Source organism: Homo sapiens, chromosome 3 (genome assembly GCF_000001405.40).
Source record: "Homo sapiens chromosome 3, GRCh38.p14 Primary Assembly".
Lineage (NCBI taxonomy): Eukaryota > Metazoa > Chordata > Mammalia > Primates > Hominidae > Homo > Homo sapiens.
Window position 1 is genome coordinate 136,449,404 of NC_000003.12, and position 17,344 is coordinate 136,466,747.

At 38.1% G+C, this 17,344-nt stretch overlaps 1 protein-coding gene across 8 annotated transcripts in view; it reads right to left on the bottom strand.

Annotated features, from left to right (window-relative positions):
• Positions 1-17,344, bottom strand: part of STAG1 (STAG1 cohesin complex component) — a 416,143-nt gene that overhangs the window by 113,168 nt on the left and 285,631 nt on the right. For 7 of the 8 annotated variants that reach the window (XR_001739978.2, NM_005862.3, XM_047447229.1 and 4 more), the window contains 2 exons: positions 15,478-15,585; positions 2,630-2,744 (listed from right to left, as the gene is read on the bottom strand). Coding sequence is in view for 7 of the 8 variants with exons in the window: in NM_005862.3 (NP_005853.2) it covers positions 2,630-2,744; positions 15,478-15,585 (223 nt within the window). In the remaining variant the exon portion in view is untranslated. Of the gene's footprint in view, positions 1-2,629; positions 2,745-15,238; positions 15,422-15,477; positions 15,586-17,344 lie in introns of those variants that run through there. The other variant, XM_017005525.2, reaches the window with a different exon arrangement.

Genomic DNA, 17,344 nt, shown 5'->3' on the forward strand with positions numbered 1-17,344 from the left:
TACAAAAATTAGCCAAGCATGGTGGTACACACTTGTAGTCTCAGCTACTTGGAGGATAAAGTATGAGAATTGCTTGAATCTGGGAGACAGAGGTTGCAGTGAGCTGAGATCACGCCACTGCACTCCAGCCTGAGTGACAGAGCAAGACTCTGTCTCAAAAAAAAAAAAAGAAGGAAAAAAAAGGAATGTAATACAGCTGGCAAATACATTCTAATTCTGTTGTAAGACTTTAGAAAATGGTAGCAAACACAGGAATACAGTAAGACCATCTGAAAATTGTGCAGTAATAAACATTACAAATTACTTCTTTAAATAAAAGACAAAACGCCTGAAACTAAGTACTCATGCCTTTTAATAAATTGAAAAGCCCTTGAGCTTTCAGAGATAAAAAACATTTTCCTTTAATGAATAATCAAAGTCAGTTAGCGAAGATCATCATATTCCCTAAACTTTTTAGTAGTTATCTCATACTTATCAATTTCTGAAACTATTGTTGCTTTTTTTTTTTTTTTTTTAGAGACAGGGTCTTGCACAGGCTGGAGTACAAATGGAGCGATCATAGCTTACTGCAGCCTGTGCAACTCCTGGGCTCAAGGGATCCTCCCACCTTAGCCTCCCAAGTAGCCACCATGTCTGGCTACTTTTTATTCCATTCCTCTAAAAAACCTAAGGGAGGTAAGAGTGTAAGTTGAAATGGTTTACTAGACATGTGATATTTACGGGGTAGTTAGTGTTTTACTAAAAAAATTCACACTTTGCATTTTATTCTGTAATACATGCACCCTTGCTTGTTAAGAAAATAATGCTTCAAATCATTAGTATGCAAAGTGTGATCCTTGGACCACGAGCATGAGCACTATCTTGGAGACTGTTAGAAATGCAGAATCTCAGGCCCCATTCTAGAGCTATTGAATAAGAACTGGCATTTTAACAAGATCCTCAGGTAATTTGCATACACATTTAAAATACTATTAAACACATTCTTTACTCAAATTCAACTCTCTAGCTAGTTTTGTTTCTGACTTTATTTCTCTAGTCATTGGTAACTCTCTTAAAAAATGGCAGCAACTCCTTCACCACTTTCTGCTGTTTTGCCCTAACACCCTTCACTCCACTGACTGAGTTCTTCTCCAATTTTAATTTTCATATAGGCTACCTGTTTGTGTCTCTCTTCCTTATTCCTACTAAGTTCCCCTCTTACTCTCAAACTTGAGCATTCATAGAATCGTTTCTTCACTGACATTCTAGCACAAATCAAAAACACTTTTTAACAAATAAAATTGAGAGTCCTAGGTTTCTAGATGTTCTTTACTTCTTTTGCAACTCTATTTTGTTTGCTTATTTATTTTAATTTTTTTTGAGACAGAATCTGGCTCTGTCGCGAAGTGTGGAGTGCAGTGGTACAATCTCGGCTCACTGCATGCAACCTCTGCCTCCTGGGTTCAAGCAATTCTTGTGTCTCAGACTCTTTATTAGCTGTGATTAGGTGTGCGCCACCACGCTCAGCTAATTTTTTTCTATTTTTAGTAGAGACGGACTTTTGCTATATTAGCCAGGCTGGTCTTAAACTCCTGGCCTGAAGTGATCTGCCCACCTCGGCCTCCCAAAGTGCTGGGATTACAAGCGTGAGCCACTGCACCTGGCCTGCAACTCTATTTTCAAGCATTTCTAAACGAAGAAGTTAAGTTATTCAGGAGTTCTTCAGGTTTAATTTACTGTTTCTCCAATGACACGGCAGTAGTAGGAAATACAGATTACAATATATTAAAAAAAAAAAAACCCACACCATTTTGGTGGAAAAACCGAAGTTTACTTGAGAAAACAGATCCTGACATATAAGTGTTAATTACAAAATTGTTTAAGCAATAACTGAATATAGCACATGGAAATATTGCTATGAGGCTCGTACAACTATCAATTAAAACATGAATTTGTATTTTTCTTTCTCCTTACTAAATAATTTTCAAACAAGATAAAACTAATGTTATTAACAGTCTGACAATTTTCAAAAACTGTTTAATGTAATGTAAAAGCTACAGGCATAAAAACAAAAGGCAACAATAAAAAAAAGGTATGCAGGCTGGGCATGGTGGCTCATGACCATAATCCCAGCACTTTGGGAGGCCAAGGTGGGCAGATGACCTAAGTCAGGAGTTCAAGACCAGCCTGGCCAACATGGTGAAACCCCGTCTCTACTAAAGATACAAAAATTAGCTGGGCGTGGTAGTGGGCACCTGTAGTCCCAGCTACTCGGGAGGCTGAGGCAGGACAAGCCCTTGAATCTGGGAGGCAGAGGCTGCAGTGAGCCGAGATCGCACCACTGTACTCCAGCCTGGGTGACAGAGTGAGACCCTGTCTCAAAAGAAAAAAAAAAAAAGATATGCAGTATTGCAATACTGTAAAAGTTTAACAATTGCCAGTCTGTATTCAGTGTTGATCCACACCTACATATATATTCAGAACACCTTTCCACAAAAGGTAAAGGACTGATTCTATATCATGCAATTCATGAAGGTAACTTTATAAGAAACAGACTTGTTTTTATTTGATTGAAAAAAATTAAAATGAATTGACATTTAAAATGTAATATAATAAAAGAAATAAGGAATTATCTTAAAACATTTTTTACCTCACTTTCAAGAAAGAAAAGAACCAGCATCCTAATGAGGTTTCCATTCGGGCTGTTTCTTCCCCTCCTCTTTGCTAATGCTTCTTCTGCTTGTGGGTCATGTCTGCTAAATAGCCTGGAAATGAAAAACAGGGCATTGCAAAGTTACATGAATATGAACTTTAGTCTTCCCTCAACACACAAATCATTTCAGTGTTTAACAACAACAACAACAAAAAGGGGGAGCAGGGAGAACGAGCATCAGAGATCAGGCCAGGTGCAGAGGCTCATGCCTGTAATCCCAGCACTCTGGGAGGCCGAGGCAGGTGGATCATGAGGTCAGGAGACTGAGACCATCCTGGCTAACACGGTGAAATCCCGTCTCTACTAAAAATACAAAAAATTAGCCGGGCATGGTGGCGGGCACCTGTAGTCCCAGCTACTTGGGAGGCTGAGGCAGGAGAATGGCATGAACCCAGGAGGCGGAGCTTGCAGACAGCTGAGATTGCACAACTGCACTCCAGCCTGGGTGACAGAGACTCCGAAAAAAAAAAAAAATCAGAGATCAGATTATTCATCTATTTCAATAGAAATATGTAACTGATGTCATTATAGGTCGGAAAATGGTGGCATCTGAACAATGTCCTACAGGTTAAACTAGATATAAAATGTAAAGGGAAACTTTTACAATGAACAATCAATGTTCAAATATGTGTGAAAATGATAAGGACTGCTATTATCCTGTATGATTGATACTAGAATATGTAATTTTTAACTGAGTTCTATTTTCTTTTTTGAGACAGAGTCTCGCTCTGTCACCCAGGCTGGAGTGCAGTGGCATGATCTCGGCTCACTGCAACCTCTGCCTCTCGGGTTCAAGCAATTCTCCTGCCTCAGCCTTCCAAGTAGCTGAAATTACAGGTGCCTGCCACTATGCTGGGCTAATTTTTGTATTTTTAGTAGAGATGAGGTTTCACCATGTTGGCCAGGCTGGTCTCGAACTCCTGACCTCAAGTGATACCCCTGCCTTGGCCCTAAGTTCTATTTTCCTAAACACTGATTTCACAGTCATGTAATTATAACATATAACCAAATGTTTCATCAATAATTTAAAAAATTCACACCTTATTATCTGGAAACATTATCTATGAACCCAATAGTTTTTAGTAAAATGACATTAATGGTAAATTAATAAAATATCATGTAGTAACAAAACATCTGAAATATGGCAAAAAAAAAGATTTGAAATTTTTAATTTGTTTAGATTTATTCTAACAAAACTTAAAAACTGCTAAGTTGGCCGGGCACGGTGGCTCACGCCTATAATCCCAGCTCTTTGGGAGGCCGAGGCAGGCAGATCATGAAGTCAGGAGATTGAGACCATCCTGGCTCACACAGTGAAACCCCATCTCTACTAAAAATACAAAAAATTAGCCGGGCGTGGTGGCGGGCGCCTGTAGTCCCACCTACTCGGGAGGCTGAGGCAGAAGAATGGCATGAACTCAGGAGGTGGAGCTTACAGTAAGCCGAGATCGCGCCACTGCACTCCAGCCTGGGTGACAGAGCGAGACTATGTCTCAAAAAAAAAAAAAAAAAATTGCTAAAGGTATCTTATTTCTAGGCATTGCTCTAGGTAAAAGGGAATCTTAGGAACAAACGACAAAATCCCTGTTCTCATGGAGCTCTCACTTTAGTGAATAAACGGTAGATAAGTATATACTGTTGCTGGTTATAAAGAAAAGTAAAAAAAAAAAACGGTATATGTATATAGCATGTACTAGTTTATACATAAAAGTCAGAGTAGGCCTCTCAAATGAGAGGCAAAATAACTGAATAAAATGAGAATAATTTCATGTGATATTAAAATAAACCAATCTCTACCAGAAAACGACCACAGAGAAGCTGAGGTTTTCTGGGGGGGCAGGTGAGGAGGAAGGCATATTAGGGGACTAGAGAACTTATCTTGAAGCTATATCTATAATCTATATAGCTGTCATTTAAGAGAAGGTTCTGTTTAATGGGTGACTTTCAGAGGGGTGGTAAAAGGAAAATATGAATATCCCTGATAACTGAAATATACCAATCTATTTATTTATTTTTTGAGACACAGTCTCACTCTGTCACCCAGGCTGGAGTGCAGCGGCACAATCTCCGCCTCCTAGATTCAAGCGATTCTCATGCCTCAGCCTCCCAAGTTGCTGGGATTACAGGTGCCTGCCACCATGCCCAGCTAATTTTTGTATTTTCTAGTAGAGACAGGGTTTCACCATGTTGGCCAGGCTGGTCTCGAACTCCTGACCTCAAGTAATCCGCCCACCTCAGCCTCCCAAAGTGCTGGGATTACAGGCCTGAGCCACCGTGATCGGCTTATTTTATGTTTTTTTTGAGATGAAGTCTCACTCTGTCGGCCTGGCTGGACGGCAATGGCATGATCTCTGCTTACTGCAACCTCCGCCTCCTGGGCTCAAGAGATTCTCCTGTCTCGGCCTCTGGAGTAGATAAGATTACAGGCGTGTGCCACCATGCCAGGCCAATTTTTTGTATTTTTAGTAGAGATGGGGTTTCACCATGTTGGCCAGGCTGATCTCGAACTCCTGACCTCAAGTCGTCCACCTGCCTCGGCCTCCCAAAGTGCTGGGATTATGGGGATGAGCCACCATGCCCAGTTTGTGCCAATTTAAATAATTCCATTTATTGCATATAAATAAGGTATTGAGGAATTTGCTTAAATTTTGAGTATTAAAATGTGGAATTTTTGATCATGTAGTAAAACATTCATTTCAGACAGATCTTACTACTTTTTGGATGATTGGTTAATATTGTGAATAGCTTATGACTAGACTACAAGACACTATACGTGTGTGGATGTGTACATTTATGTATCTTTGAAAGCTGATCATGGAACTCCTGGGGATACACCATAGCTTATTTAAGATTTTCTAAGTCACCATATTAAATGATGGAAGAATGATAAAAGAGATCATTAATCAAGTCATCAAACTGTAAGTTTCTCCAAGACACGGGCCTAAAAAACATTTATGGAGTGAAGCTTTCATTTGCATAAGAATTGGCTTGATTTTCACAAAGAAACAAAAACTAATGGAGGCTTATCCTTCTGGATTTCTGTGGCAGATATTCTAATAAAAACTTTTTTTGGTGTTGTGATATCAGCAAGATGGTGGAACAGAAGATTGCCGAGCATCACTCCCCCTACCAAGATACAACCAGAAACTATTCAAACACAAGGATACCACCCTGAATATGCTAGAACTCTGAAGAGAAGTGGAGAAACCCTCTGGGCCCACAGAATCAAGAAACTATGATTAGTAAGAGAAACAGTCATTTCACACGGTGCCAACTGCCCCCTCCCTACAAGCTGGCAAAACTCAAAGAGAATTTCCCTAGACCCATGATTCTGGTAAGAGGGAATTAGAAGTGGAAAATTGCTCTCCTTGCTGGTCTGGGCATCTTTGCAAGAAGCCCACTCCAGTTCCATCCCACGGAACCACTGGGAGTGCCTGGAGGCCAGAAACACCTGGGGTGAACTGGGGAGAAAGAATAGGGTGCTGATCACAGCAACTGGTGCACATCACAGCAACTGGTGCACGGATCTTGGCAGCCACTCGGCACATTGGCCAGTGGGAATGCCATGTTGAAGGGAGTGGCCAGTGCAAAAGCACTGCAAGGGGCACAATCCAAGCGAAGGATCAAATCCCTAGATGTATTTTCCACAAAGCCCAGGTGACTGTATAAAGTCTTTCCTTGGCCTGGAAACAACTAAAAGGTCAGGATTAAGTTGCAGTACCCACTTAAGGATTTCCCAGGTTGGGAAATAATGTAAGGCCAGCAATATAGTTCCAGGGAAGTGTTTAAGCTCCAGTACTAAGAGTCTTCACCAGACTGAGAAAGAACAGAAGTGCAGTGACTTGGTTCTGGAATACTGTTTAAATTCCACTATAAGTTCTTGCCAGACCAAGAAAAAAACAAGAGGCCAGGGTTCAAGTTCTGAAACTAAGAAGTAAAGGTCTAACACTACCAAAGAAAACTTGCAAAAAAGTGGAAGCGGTAGCTATCTCTTCAAATACACAAGCATCAACTTAAGTCAGGGAAATATTACACTACCAAACAAAACCAGCAGAGGTCCAGCAACAGATCCAGAAAAACTGAAGATCTATGAAATGTCTGACAGGCAATTCAGGGTAATCCTCTTAAAAAGAATTTTAAGGAATTACATACACACAAAAAATCCAAATAGAAAACTAAATCAAATTTGAAAAACAAAATGAGAAATATGATGAATAGAAACAATTTTTAAAAATCAAATATACATCCTAGAAATAAAGAATATAACTGAAGTGAAAAACTCACTAGAAAGCTTCAACAGCAAACTTGACCAAACAGAGGAAAGAATTAGTAAGCCTGAAGGCAGAACTTATGAAATTACCTAGTCAGAAGAGCAAAAAGAAAAAAAGAATTTAAAAAGCCTATGAGAATTATGGGACACGTTCAAGCAAACTAACTTCTGCAAAATTAGCATTCCCAAAGGAGACGAGAGAGAAAAAGGGCCTGGAAAGCATATTAAAAGAGTAAGGCTGAAAATTCCCCAAATCTGGAGAAAGACAACAGCATCCAGGAACAGAAAGCTCAGATGTCATCAAACAAATTCAACCCAAAGAGGAATTTCCCAAGGCATATCATAATCAAATTAACAAAAATCAAGGACAAAGAAGAAATATTCAAAGCATCAAAAGAAAAGAATCATATCATATTCAATGGAGCTCCTATATGGCTTTCAGTAGATTTATCAGCAGAAATCTTGAAGGTCAGGATAGACTGGGATGCTATATTCAAAGTTTTGAAGAAAGAAAACTGCTATCCAAGAATACTGTACCTAACAATATCCTTCAAACATGAAAGACAGATAAAGACTTTCCCAGACAAATAGAAGCTGAGGGAATTCATCAACACCAGAGCTGCCTTATAAAAAATGCCAAAAGGAGTTCTTCAATTTGAAAGAAATGAATGCTAATGTGTTGGCAGAAAAGCTCAGGCAGGATTGGCTTGTCTGTCATAATATAAAAGAGTCTTGGAAAATGTCCGGGGTCCAGGGTCTAAAACCCCTCATGGCCTTTGGAACAGCAAAGTCTGTGCCAAAGGGTGGAAGGCTGCCCTGCCGCACCACAAATATAAGCCCAGGCATAAAACCCCTCGTAGCTTGGATGGAATCCAAGGCTCAGAGCATAAAACCCCTCGTGGCCTCTGGAATGTGCGCAGACTTGTTGGTTGCTCTCCCAGGCTCGTAAACATGTTCTCCATTATCTCAAGCAGCAGAGCATATTTTATATGCATCAAAGAAAATAGTAAACTGTCACAGATAACGCTTGATGCACCGCTACCTTTCTACCCCTACGTCCTCATGTCCTCACCTGTTTACCCCCACATCCAAACGTCCTCACCACCTGCTTCTTTCTTTCATCACCAATAAATAGTGTGGGCTCCCAGAGCTCGGGGCCTTCGCAGCCTCCATACCAGCGTTGGCCCCCTGGACCCACTTTATGCACTCATTCTTAACTTGTCTTTTCTCATTCCTTTGACTCTGCTGGACTTCGTAGCCCCCACGGCCTGCTGTTGGGTCTGATCACCCCAACACTAATGTGTGACAAGAAAACTTCAAGGTATAAAACTCACTGGTAAAAGTAAGAAAACTGAAAAAAATTCAGAGTACTTTAAAATGCAGCAAGTAAATGACTTATATCTTAAGCATGAAGACTACAAGAAAAAACTATTAAAAATAACAACTGGGGCCAGGCATGGTGATTCATGCCTGTAATCTCCAAACTTTGGGAGGCCGAGATGGGAGGATCGCTTGAGCTTAGGAGTTTGAGACCAGCCTGGGCAACATGGCAAAACTCTTGTCTCTACAAAAACAAAAAACAAACAAACAAACAAAAAAACCCCAAAACAAACTGCAACAATTGCTGAGATAAGCAAAATTTTTAAAATGTAAATTGAAACACAGAAAAGCCAAAACATGGGAGGGGAGCAGTGTTAAAGTGTAAAGTTTATTTATGATACTTTACAATCAAAGTTATTATAAGTTTAAAATAAACTGTATTTTTTTCTGTGTTTTTTTTCTGTTTTGTTTGTTTGTTTGTTTTGTTTTGAGAGTGAGTCTTGCTCTGTCACCTAGGCTGGAGTGCAGTGGCACAATCTGAGCTCACTGCAACCTCTGCTTCCTAGGTTCAAGCAATTCTCCTGCCTCAACCTCCCAAGTAGCTGGAATTACAGGCACCTGCCATCACGCCTGGCTGATTTTTATATTTTTAGCAGAGACAGGCTTTCATCATGTTGGCCAGGCTGGTCTTGAACTCCTGACCTCAAGAGATCTGCCTGCCTTGGCCTCCCAAAGTGCTGTGATTACAGGTGTAAGCCACCATGCCCTACATAAAATAACCTGTTTTAACTACAAGATATTTTTTACAAGCCTCAGTGTAATCACAAAGCAATGTCTATAATAGATACACCAGAAATAAACAGCACAGAATCAAAATATATTATTAGATAACTAAAAGGAAGACAGTGAGAGAGAGAAAAAAATCAATGGGATCTACAAAACAACCAGAAAACAAGCAACAAAATGGCAATAGTAAACACATGCCCATCAACAATAATCCTGAAGGTAAATGGATTAAATTATCAAATTGAAAGACATATAAAGTGGCTGAAACGATTAAAAAAAAACATGACCCAATTATATTATGCCGTAAGAAACTCACTTCATCTATAAAGACACACACAGACTGAAAGTGAAGGTATGGAAAAAGATAATCCATGCACTTAGAAACCAAAAATGTAACAGAAGTGGATATATTTGTTATCAAATAAAATAGACTTTAAGTCAAGAATGATTAAAAAAAGACAAAGAAGGCCAGGCACGGTGGTGCAAGCCTGTAATCGCAGCACTTTGGGAGGCTGAGGTGGGCAGGTCACAAGGTCAAGAGATGGAGACCATCCTGGCCAACATGGTGAAACCCTGTCTCTACTAGAAACACAAAAATTAGCCAGGCGTGGTGACACGTGCCTGCAGTCCCAGCTACTCGGGAGGCTGAGGCAGGAGAACTGCTTGAACCCAGGAGGTGGAGGTTGCAGTGAGCCAAGATGGCGCCACTGCACTCCAGCCTGGCGACAGAGCGAGACTCTGTCTTAAAGAAAAAAAAAAAAAAAAGAAAAGAAAAGAAAAGAAAAAAAGACAAAGAATACCATTTTACAATGGTAAAAGGGTCAATATGACAAGAGGATATAACAATTATAAATATCTCTACACTCAATATTGAACCTCACAAATATATTTAAAAACTTAAGACATAAGGAAAGAGAGTAACTGCAATGTAATAGGAGTAGTAGGGGACTTCAACGTGCAATTTTCAGCAATGGGAAGATTATCCAGACGGAAAAAGAATCAATGTTTCCAAAGAAACACTGGAGTTAAACTGCATTCTAGACCAAATGGACCTAACATACATTTACAGAACATTCCATCTAACAGTTGCAGAATACTCATTTTTCTAGTAGCAAATGAAATATTCTCCAGGACAGGCTACAAGGTCACAAAAGAAGTCAATAGATTTTAAAATATTGAATGCATATTGAGTATCTTTTTTAACCATAATGCAATAAAACTAAAAATCAATTACAGAAGGAATGGAAATTGTTCAAGTTCATGTAAATTAGACAACACGCTCCTGAACAACAAATGGTTCAAAGAAGAAATTTTAGAATTTCGTGAGAGAAAAGAAAATAGAAACACAACATACTAAAACCTATGAAGTACAGTACAGCTAAAGCAGTTCTAAAGGAAAGTTTATACCAATAAGTATCTATATCAAAAAACTAGCAAAACTTCAAACAGACAACAATAATGAAAGGTATCAAGGAACTAGAAGACCCACACAAAAACAACAACAACAACAACATCAAAAAACAAACCAAAATTAGCCGAAGGAAAGGAATAATAAAGATCAGAGAATAAATGTAATTAAGACTAAATACAAAAGACCAATGAAACCACAATTGGTTTTTTAAAAAATAAACAAAATGGACAAACCTTTAGCTGAACTAAAAAAAAGAATATCCAAATAAAATCAGAGACAGAAAAAGAGACATTACAATGGTTACAAGAGAAATACAAAGGATCAGTAAAAACTATTATACACATCTGTATACCAACAAAATGTAAAACCTAAAAGAAATGAATAAATTCTTGGACACATACAACCTAACATAAATGAACCATAAAGAAATAGAAAACTGCCGGGCACGGTGGCTCACGCCTTTAGTCCCAGCACTCTTGGAGGCCAAGGTGGGTGAATCACCTGAGGTCAGGAGTTTGAGACCAGCCTGGCCAAGATGGTGAAACCCCATCTCTACTAAAAATACAAAAATTAGCTGGGCATGGTGGCAAGAGCCTGTAATCCCAGCTACTCGAGAGGCTGAGGCAGTAGAATCGCTTGAACCCAGGAGGTGGAGGTTGCAGTAAGCCGAGACTGTGCCATTGTACTCCAGCCAGGACAACAACAGCAAAACTCCGTCTCAAAAAAGAAAACCTGAAGAGACCAATAATGATATTGAAGCAGTAATAAAAATTAATGATACTGAAGCACTAATAAAGTCTCCCCCCCCAAAAAAAAAAGCCCGGTACCTGATGGCTTCACTGCAGAATTCTACCAAGCATTTAAAGAAGAACTAACACCAATTCTACTCAAACTATTCCAGAAAATTGAAGATAAGGGAATACCTCCAAGCTCATTCTACAAGGTCAGCATCACCCTGATGCCAAAACCAGACAAAGACAAAATAACAACAACAAAACAACAACAAAAACTATTAGACAATATCCCTAGTAAACATGCATGTAAAAATTCTCAACAATAACTACCAAACCAAATTTAACAACATATCCACAAGGTACTGTACCATAATCAAGCAGGATTTATATCAGGGACACAAAGATAGTTTAACCATATGCATTATCAGTAAATGTGATACATCACATCAACAGACTGAAAGACAAAACTCATATGACCCTCTCAACAGAGAAAAAGCATTTGAAAGAAATCAACACCCCTTCATGATAAAAACTCTCAACAAACTAGCAAAGATGAAACACATCTCAAAATAATAAAGTCCACATATGACAAACCCACAGCTACAATTACATTAAATGGGGAAAAGGTGAAAGCCTTTCCCATAAGAACTCAAGACCAGGATGCCAACTTTCACCACTTTTATACAACATAGTACTAAAAGTCCTAGTCAGAGCAGTTAGGCAAGAGAATGAAATAAAAGACATCCAAATTGGAAAGAAGTCAAATCATCTTTGTTTGTGGATGGCATAATCTTATATTTAGAAAAACAGACTCCGCCCAAAAAATTGTTGTGAGAACTAATAAATTCTGAAAAGTAGCAGAATACAAAATCAACATAAAAATCAGTAGCATTCTTGTACAGCAAAAGTGAACAATCTGAAAAAGAAGTCAAGAAGTCAATCCCATTTCCATTAACTAGCAAGACTCCGTCTTGAAAAAAAAAAAAAAAGAGAAAGAAAACACTGGGGATTCTTAAGAATATTAGTCTGGGTAGAGTTTTGGGGCAAGACCTCAATAGCATGGGCAATAAAAGGAAAAACAGACAAATGAGATTATATTAAGCAAAAAAGTTTCTATACAGCAAAGGGATCAATAAAGAGACAACCTGCAGAGTGGGTGAAAATATCGGCCAACTATTCATCTGACAAGGGATTAGTAACCAGAATATATAAGGTACTCAAACAACCCCTTAGCAAAAACGAAAACAATCCAATTTACAAATGGGCAAATGATCTGAACGGACATTTCTCAAAGGAAGACATACCAGTGGCCAACTGGTATACAAAAAGTGCTCTCATTATTTATTATAAAGAAAGTGCAAATAAGAAATCACAATGAGATATCATCTTACCTCATTTTCAATAGCTATTATCATAAAGACAAAAAAATAACATGCTGGCCAGGATGCAGAGAAAGGTGAATGCTAGTACACTGTTGGTGGGAATGTAAATTAGTACAGCAACAGTGGAAAACAGTATGGAAGTTACTCAAAAAACTAAAAATATCTACCATATGATCAAGCAACTCCACTGCTAAGTATATATCTACAAGAAAAAAATCAGCATATCAAAGAGATATCTGCACTGCCATGTTTACTACAGCACTATTCATAGTAGTGATACATGGAATCAACCTAAGTGTTCACCAGCGTTTGAATGGATAAACAAATGTGGTATATATACACAATGGAATACTATTTAGCCATAAAAAGGAAATCCTGTCATTTGCAGTGACACAGATGGAACTAGATGACATTATGTTAAGTGAATTAAGCCAAGCACAGAAGGACAAATATCTCATGTTCTCACTTTAATGTGGGAGCTAAAAAAAAGATTGATCTCCTGGAGGGGCAGTAGAATGATCGCTACCAGAGGGTGGAATAAAGAGAGGTTGGTTAATGGGTTCAAAAATACAGTTAGAAGAAATAAGTTTTAGTGTTTGATACCACAGTAGGGTGACTATAGTTAACAATAATTTATGGAATATTTCAAAATATTTATTAATAGAAGATTTGGAAAGTTCCCAACACAAAGAAATAATACATATTTGAGGTGATGGATATCCCATTTACCTAATTTCACCATTACACATTAGGTGCATGCATCAAAATATCACATGTACCCTATAAATATGCATTTATCAATTTTTAAAAGTATAAAAAATTTAGCCAATATTTCAAACATAGAAAAATATAATACAGACATAAAATAAGTATATTCTAAGACTTTTTCTAACTCAAGAGTTACCAGTTTATGGCTTCTATTATACAGAGAACCAATCTCATAAGTTTATTTTTCTCTCTGAAACTACAGAAGCAACAAATTATTTCTAAAAACACGAAGTTCTTTGAAAAGTAGAGAATAGAGACTAATTAGAATAAAATAATGCTGAAAAAAGAAAGACTACAGTACATTCTTGGTATCAGTGACAGACAACATCCAAAGATAAATATAAAATCAGCATTATTCTACTAGCCAGAGCTGTCAGAGTCACTAGGAAATGCAATATTATTTTAAGTCATGCCTGAAAACCTTGACTTTCTTCCTCTTCATTTCCTTTGCCAGCATGCCCAGTAAGTAGCTGGTTTCTTTCTTAACAGAGATTTCTTACATAGAAATAACTTTTCTCACTTTGAGAGGTACAAGTGAGTAGAGAACAATTTGTTATTGTAGCACTGAATGCAGATACTGGAGAGAGGACCAGGCCTGCTCATTATCAAAGTTAGTCAATGATGCACAACAGTTGCCTAGTCCATGATTTATAGTTGTACTTCAGCATAAGAAGAAGTTAGAATACATAATAAACTTTTAAAATCACTTGTGAATATTATTCAAAGCTAGTAATTTAAATCCATGAACAAAAATCCAAAACACAAAACAAAGCAAAAAGATACACACCTATAACCAAGAATATGTTTATATTTTAAATATGAATTAATCAACTGGGTACAGTGGCTCATGCCTGTAATCCCAACACTATGGGAGGCTGAGGTGGGAGGATCACTTCAGGCCAGGAGTTCAAGACCAGCCTGGGCAAGACAGCAAGACCCCATCTCTCTAAAAAAAAAAAAATGTGTATATGTGTGTGTGTGTGTGTGTGTGTGTGTGTGTGTATACACACACACACACACACACATATACATATACATACATATATACACATATATTCATATATACATATATACATACATATATAAATATATATTTATATATACATACATACATATATACTTATATATACATATATACTTACATATAATATATATTTTAAAATGATTTAAAGAATGAGTTAATCTACTAATCAATTATAGAACATATACAGTAAATCACGCTAAAACATGTACATCCTAAATGTTTACATGCATACACTCTCATTAACGTTATGCTTTACAAAAAAATAAGGTTTAAAAAAAATTAAACTGCAACTATATATATATAAAACTTTCAGAATTACTATGAATTACTGATTAAAATAATCCTGATCATGGCCAGGTGTGGTGGCTCATGCCTGTAATCCCAGCAGTTTGGGAGGCTGAGGCGGGCGGATTACCTGAGGTCGGGAGTTCGACACCGGCCTGACCAACATGGAGAAACCCTGTCTCTAATAAAAACACAAAATTAGCCGGGCAGGGTGGCGCATGCCTGTAATCCCAGCTACTTGGGAAGCTGAGGTAGGATAATCGCTTGAACCTGGGAGGCAGAAGTTGTGGTGAGTCGAGACTGCACCATTGTACTGTAGTCTGGGCAACAAGAGCGAAACTCCGTCTCAAAAAAAAACAAAAAAACAAAAAAATCATCATAATGGAAAGAATGAAAAAAAATGAAAATTTGGAAGGCATTTTAAAGGTGATACTGCTTCAAATTTAGATTACAAATGTTAAGAAAGTAAGATCAGACCTCAGAATTTTAAAGAAAAAACTAGTGTGATGAATTATCAATTACGTTAGCTTTTATAAATTTCATGCATTCCTCCAATCTCCACTCACATCTAGCTGAGAATCATCCTCTCAGATTTCAGAAAAAAGGAGTATGTCACAAGGTACAGCATCCTCAAGGCTGTGATTCACCATGTATACATAGGCTGTGAGGCTGTTATAGCCCCTGGAGTATCAGATGGACATTTTCAGCACTGTGTTCAGTCACTATTACTCTCTTCTACAAACTCTAAAACAACAAGAAAACAACATAGAAAAGTAGAACCGGTTTTCAAAGATAATTAGCTCACTTTTTGTGAAGGAACTCTCCAGCTGCCACAGCAACAGGGCGATGTGCCGAGTACACCAAGTGGTAAACATTTTCACAGTCTTCATTGGAAAGAGCTTCTTCACTTCCACTGAAAAATACAGAAAGTAACATCTGATCTAAAGCAAATGTTTATTTTCCTTTCTACTTTTATTTAAACTTGCTAAAGTTCATTATAAAGCTCAAGACTTAATAATTGTTGTCTCATCTTTTATCTTACTTTGAAAGTAATGTTTCCCCTTTAAGTATAAAAGACAATAATGTAAAATTCAGAAAATACAGATTCAACGAGAAGAAAATAAAATGCTCACAATTCTTCTACAGCTTTTTTTTTTTTTTTGAGACAGAGTCTTGCTCTGTCAACTAGGCTGGAGTACAACACCATGATCTTGGCTCACTGCAACCTCTGCCTCCCGGGTTCAACTGATTCTCCTGCCTCAGCCTCCTGAGTAGCTGAGATTACAGGTGCCCAACACCACGCTCAGCTAATTTTTTGTATTTTTAGTAGAAACGGGGTTTCGTCATGTTAGGCAGACTGTTCTCTAACTCCTGATCTCAGATAATCCAGCTGCTACATCCTCCCAAAATGCTGGGATTATAGGTGTGAGTCACTGTGCCTGGCCGCCTTCTAGTCTGTGGGACAGAGCAAGACTCTTGCCTCAAAAAAAAAAAAAAAAAAAAAAAAAAAAGGGAAAAGGAAGAGACAAAACTGAAATTGTTTGCAGGTTATATAATAATATACATACTAAAACCAACAAAATCAACAAAGTATTAGAATGCATTCTAGGACTCAGAATAAGAGCTCAAATAGGGTCCACATATTAGACCAACACAAAAATTGAAGGTTCTCTTCCTCAGCAATAACCAAGCAGAAAATACTAAATACTATTCTAACAAAAACAGCATAAGGCATTTCAGAATTAACCTACTAACTAATGCATAACCTCTACGAAAAAATTAAACCCTATAAGACCTAATGGTATTTTTAAAAAGAAATCCAGCTGAGCATGGCAGTGCATGCCTGCCATCCCAGCTACTTGTGAGGCTAAGAAAATAGAGGGAAAACTAACAAACAGAAAGGACATCCACACCAAAACCCCATCTGTACGTCACCATCATCAAAGACCAAAGGTAGATAAAACCACAAAGATGGGGAAAAACTGAGCAGAAAAGCTGAAAATTCTAAAAATCAGATCGCCTCTCCCCCTCCAAAGAAACAGAGCTCCTCACCAGCAACAGAACAAAGCTGGACGGAGAATGACTTTCACGAGCTGACAGAAGAAGGCTACAGACGATCAAACTTCTCTCAGCTAAAGGAGGAAGTTGGAGCCCATCGCAAAGAAGCTAAAAACCTTGAAAAAAGACTAGATGAATGGCTAACTAGAATAACCAGCGTAGAGAAGTCCTTAAATGACCTGATGGAGCTGAAAACCATGGCAGGAGAACTACGTGACGAATGCACAAGCTTCAGTAGCCAATTCGATCAACTGGAAGAAAGGGTATCAGTGACTGAAGATCAAATGAATGAAATGAAGTGAGAAGAGAAGTTAAGAGAAAAAAGAGTAAAAAGAAACGAACAAAGCCTCCAAGAAATATGGGACTACGTAAAAAGACCAAATCTACGTCGGATTGGTGTACCTGAAAGTGACAGGAAGAATGGAAACAAGTTGGAAAACACTCTGCAGGATATTATCCAGGAGAACTTCCCCAATCTAGCAAGGCAGGCCAACGTTCAGATTCAGGAAATACAGAGAACGCCACAAAGATACTCCTCGAGAAGAGCAACTCCAAGACACATAATTGTCAGATTCACCAAAGTTGAAATGAAGGAAAAAATGTTAAGGGCAGCC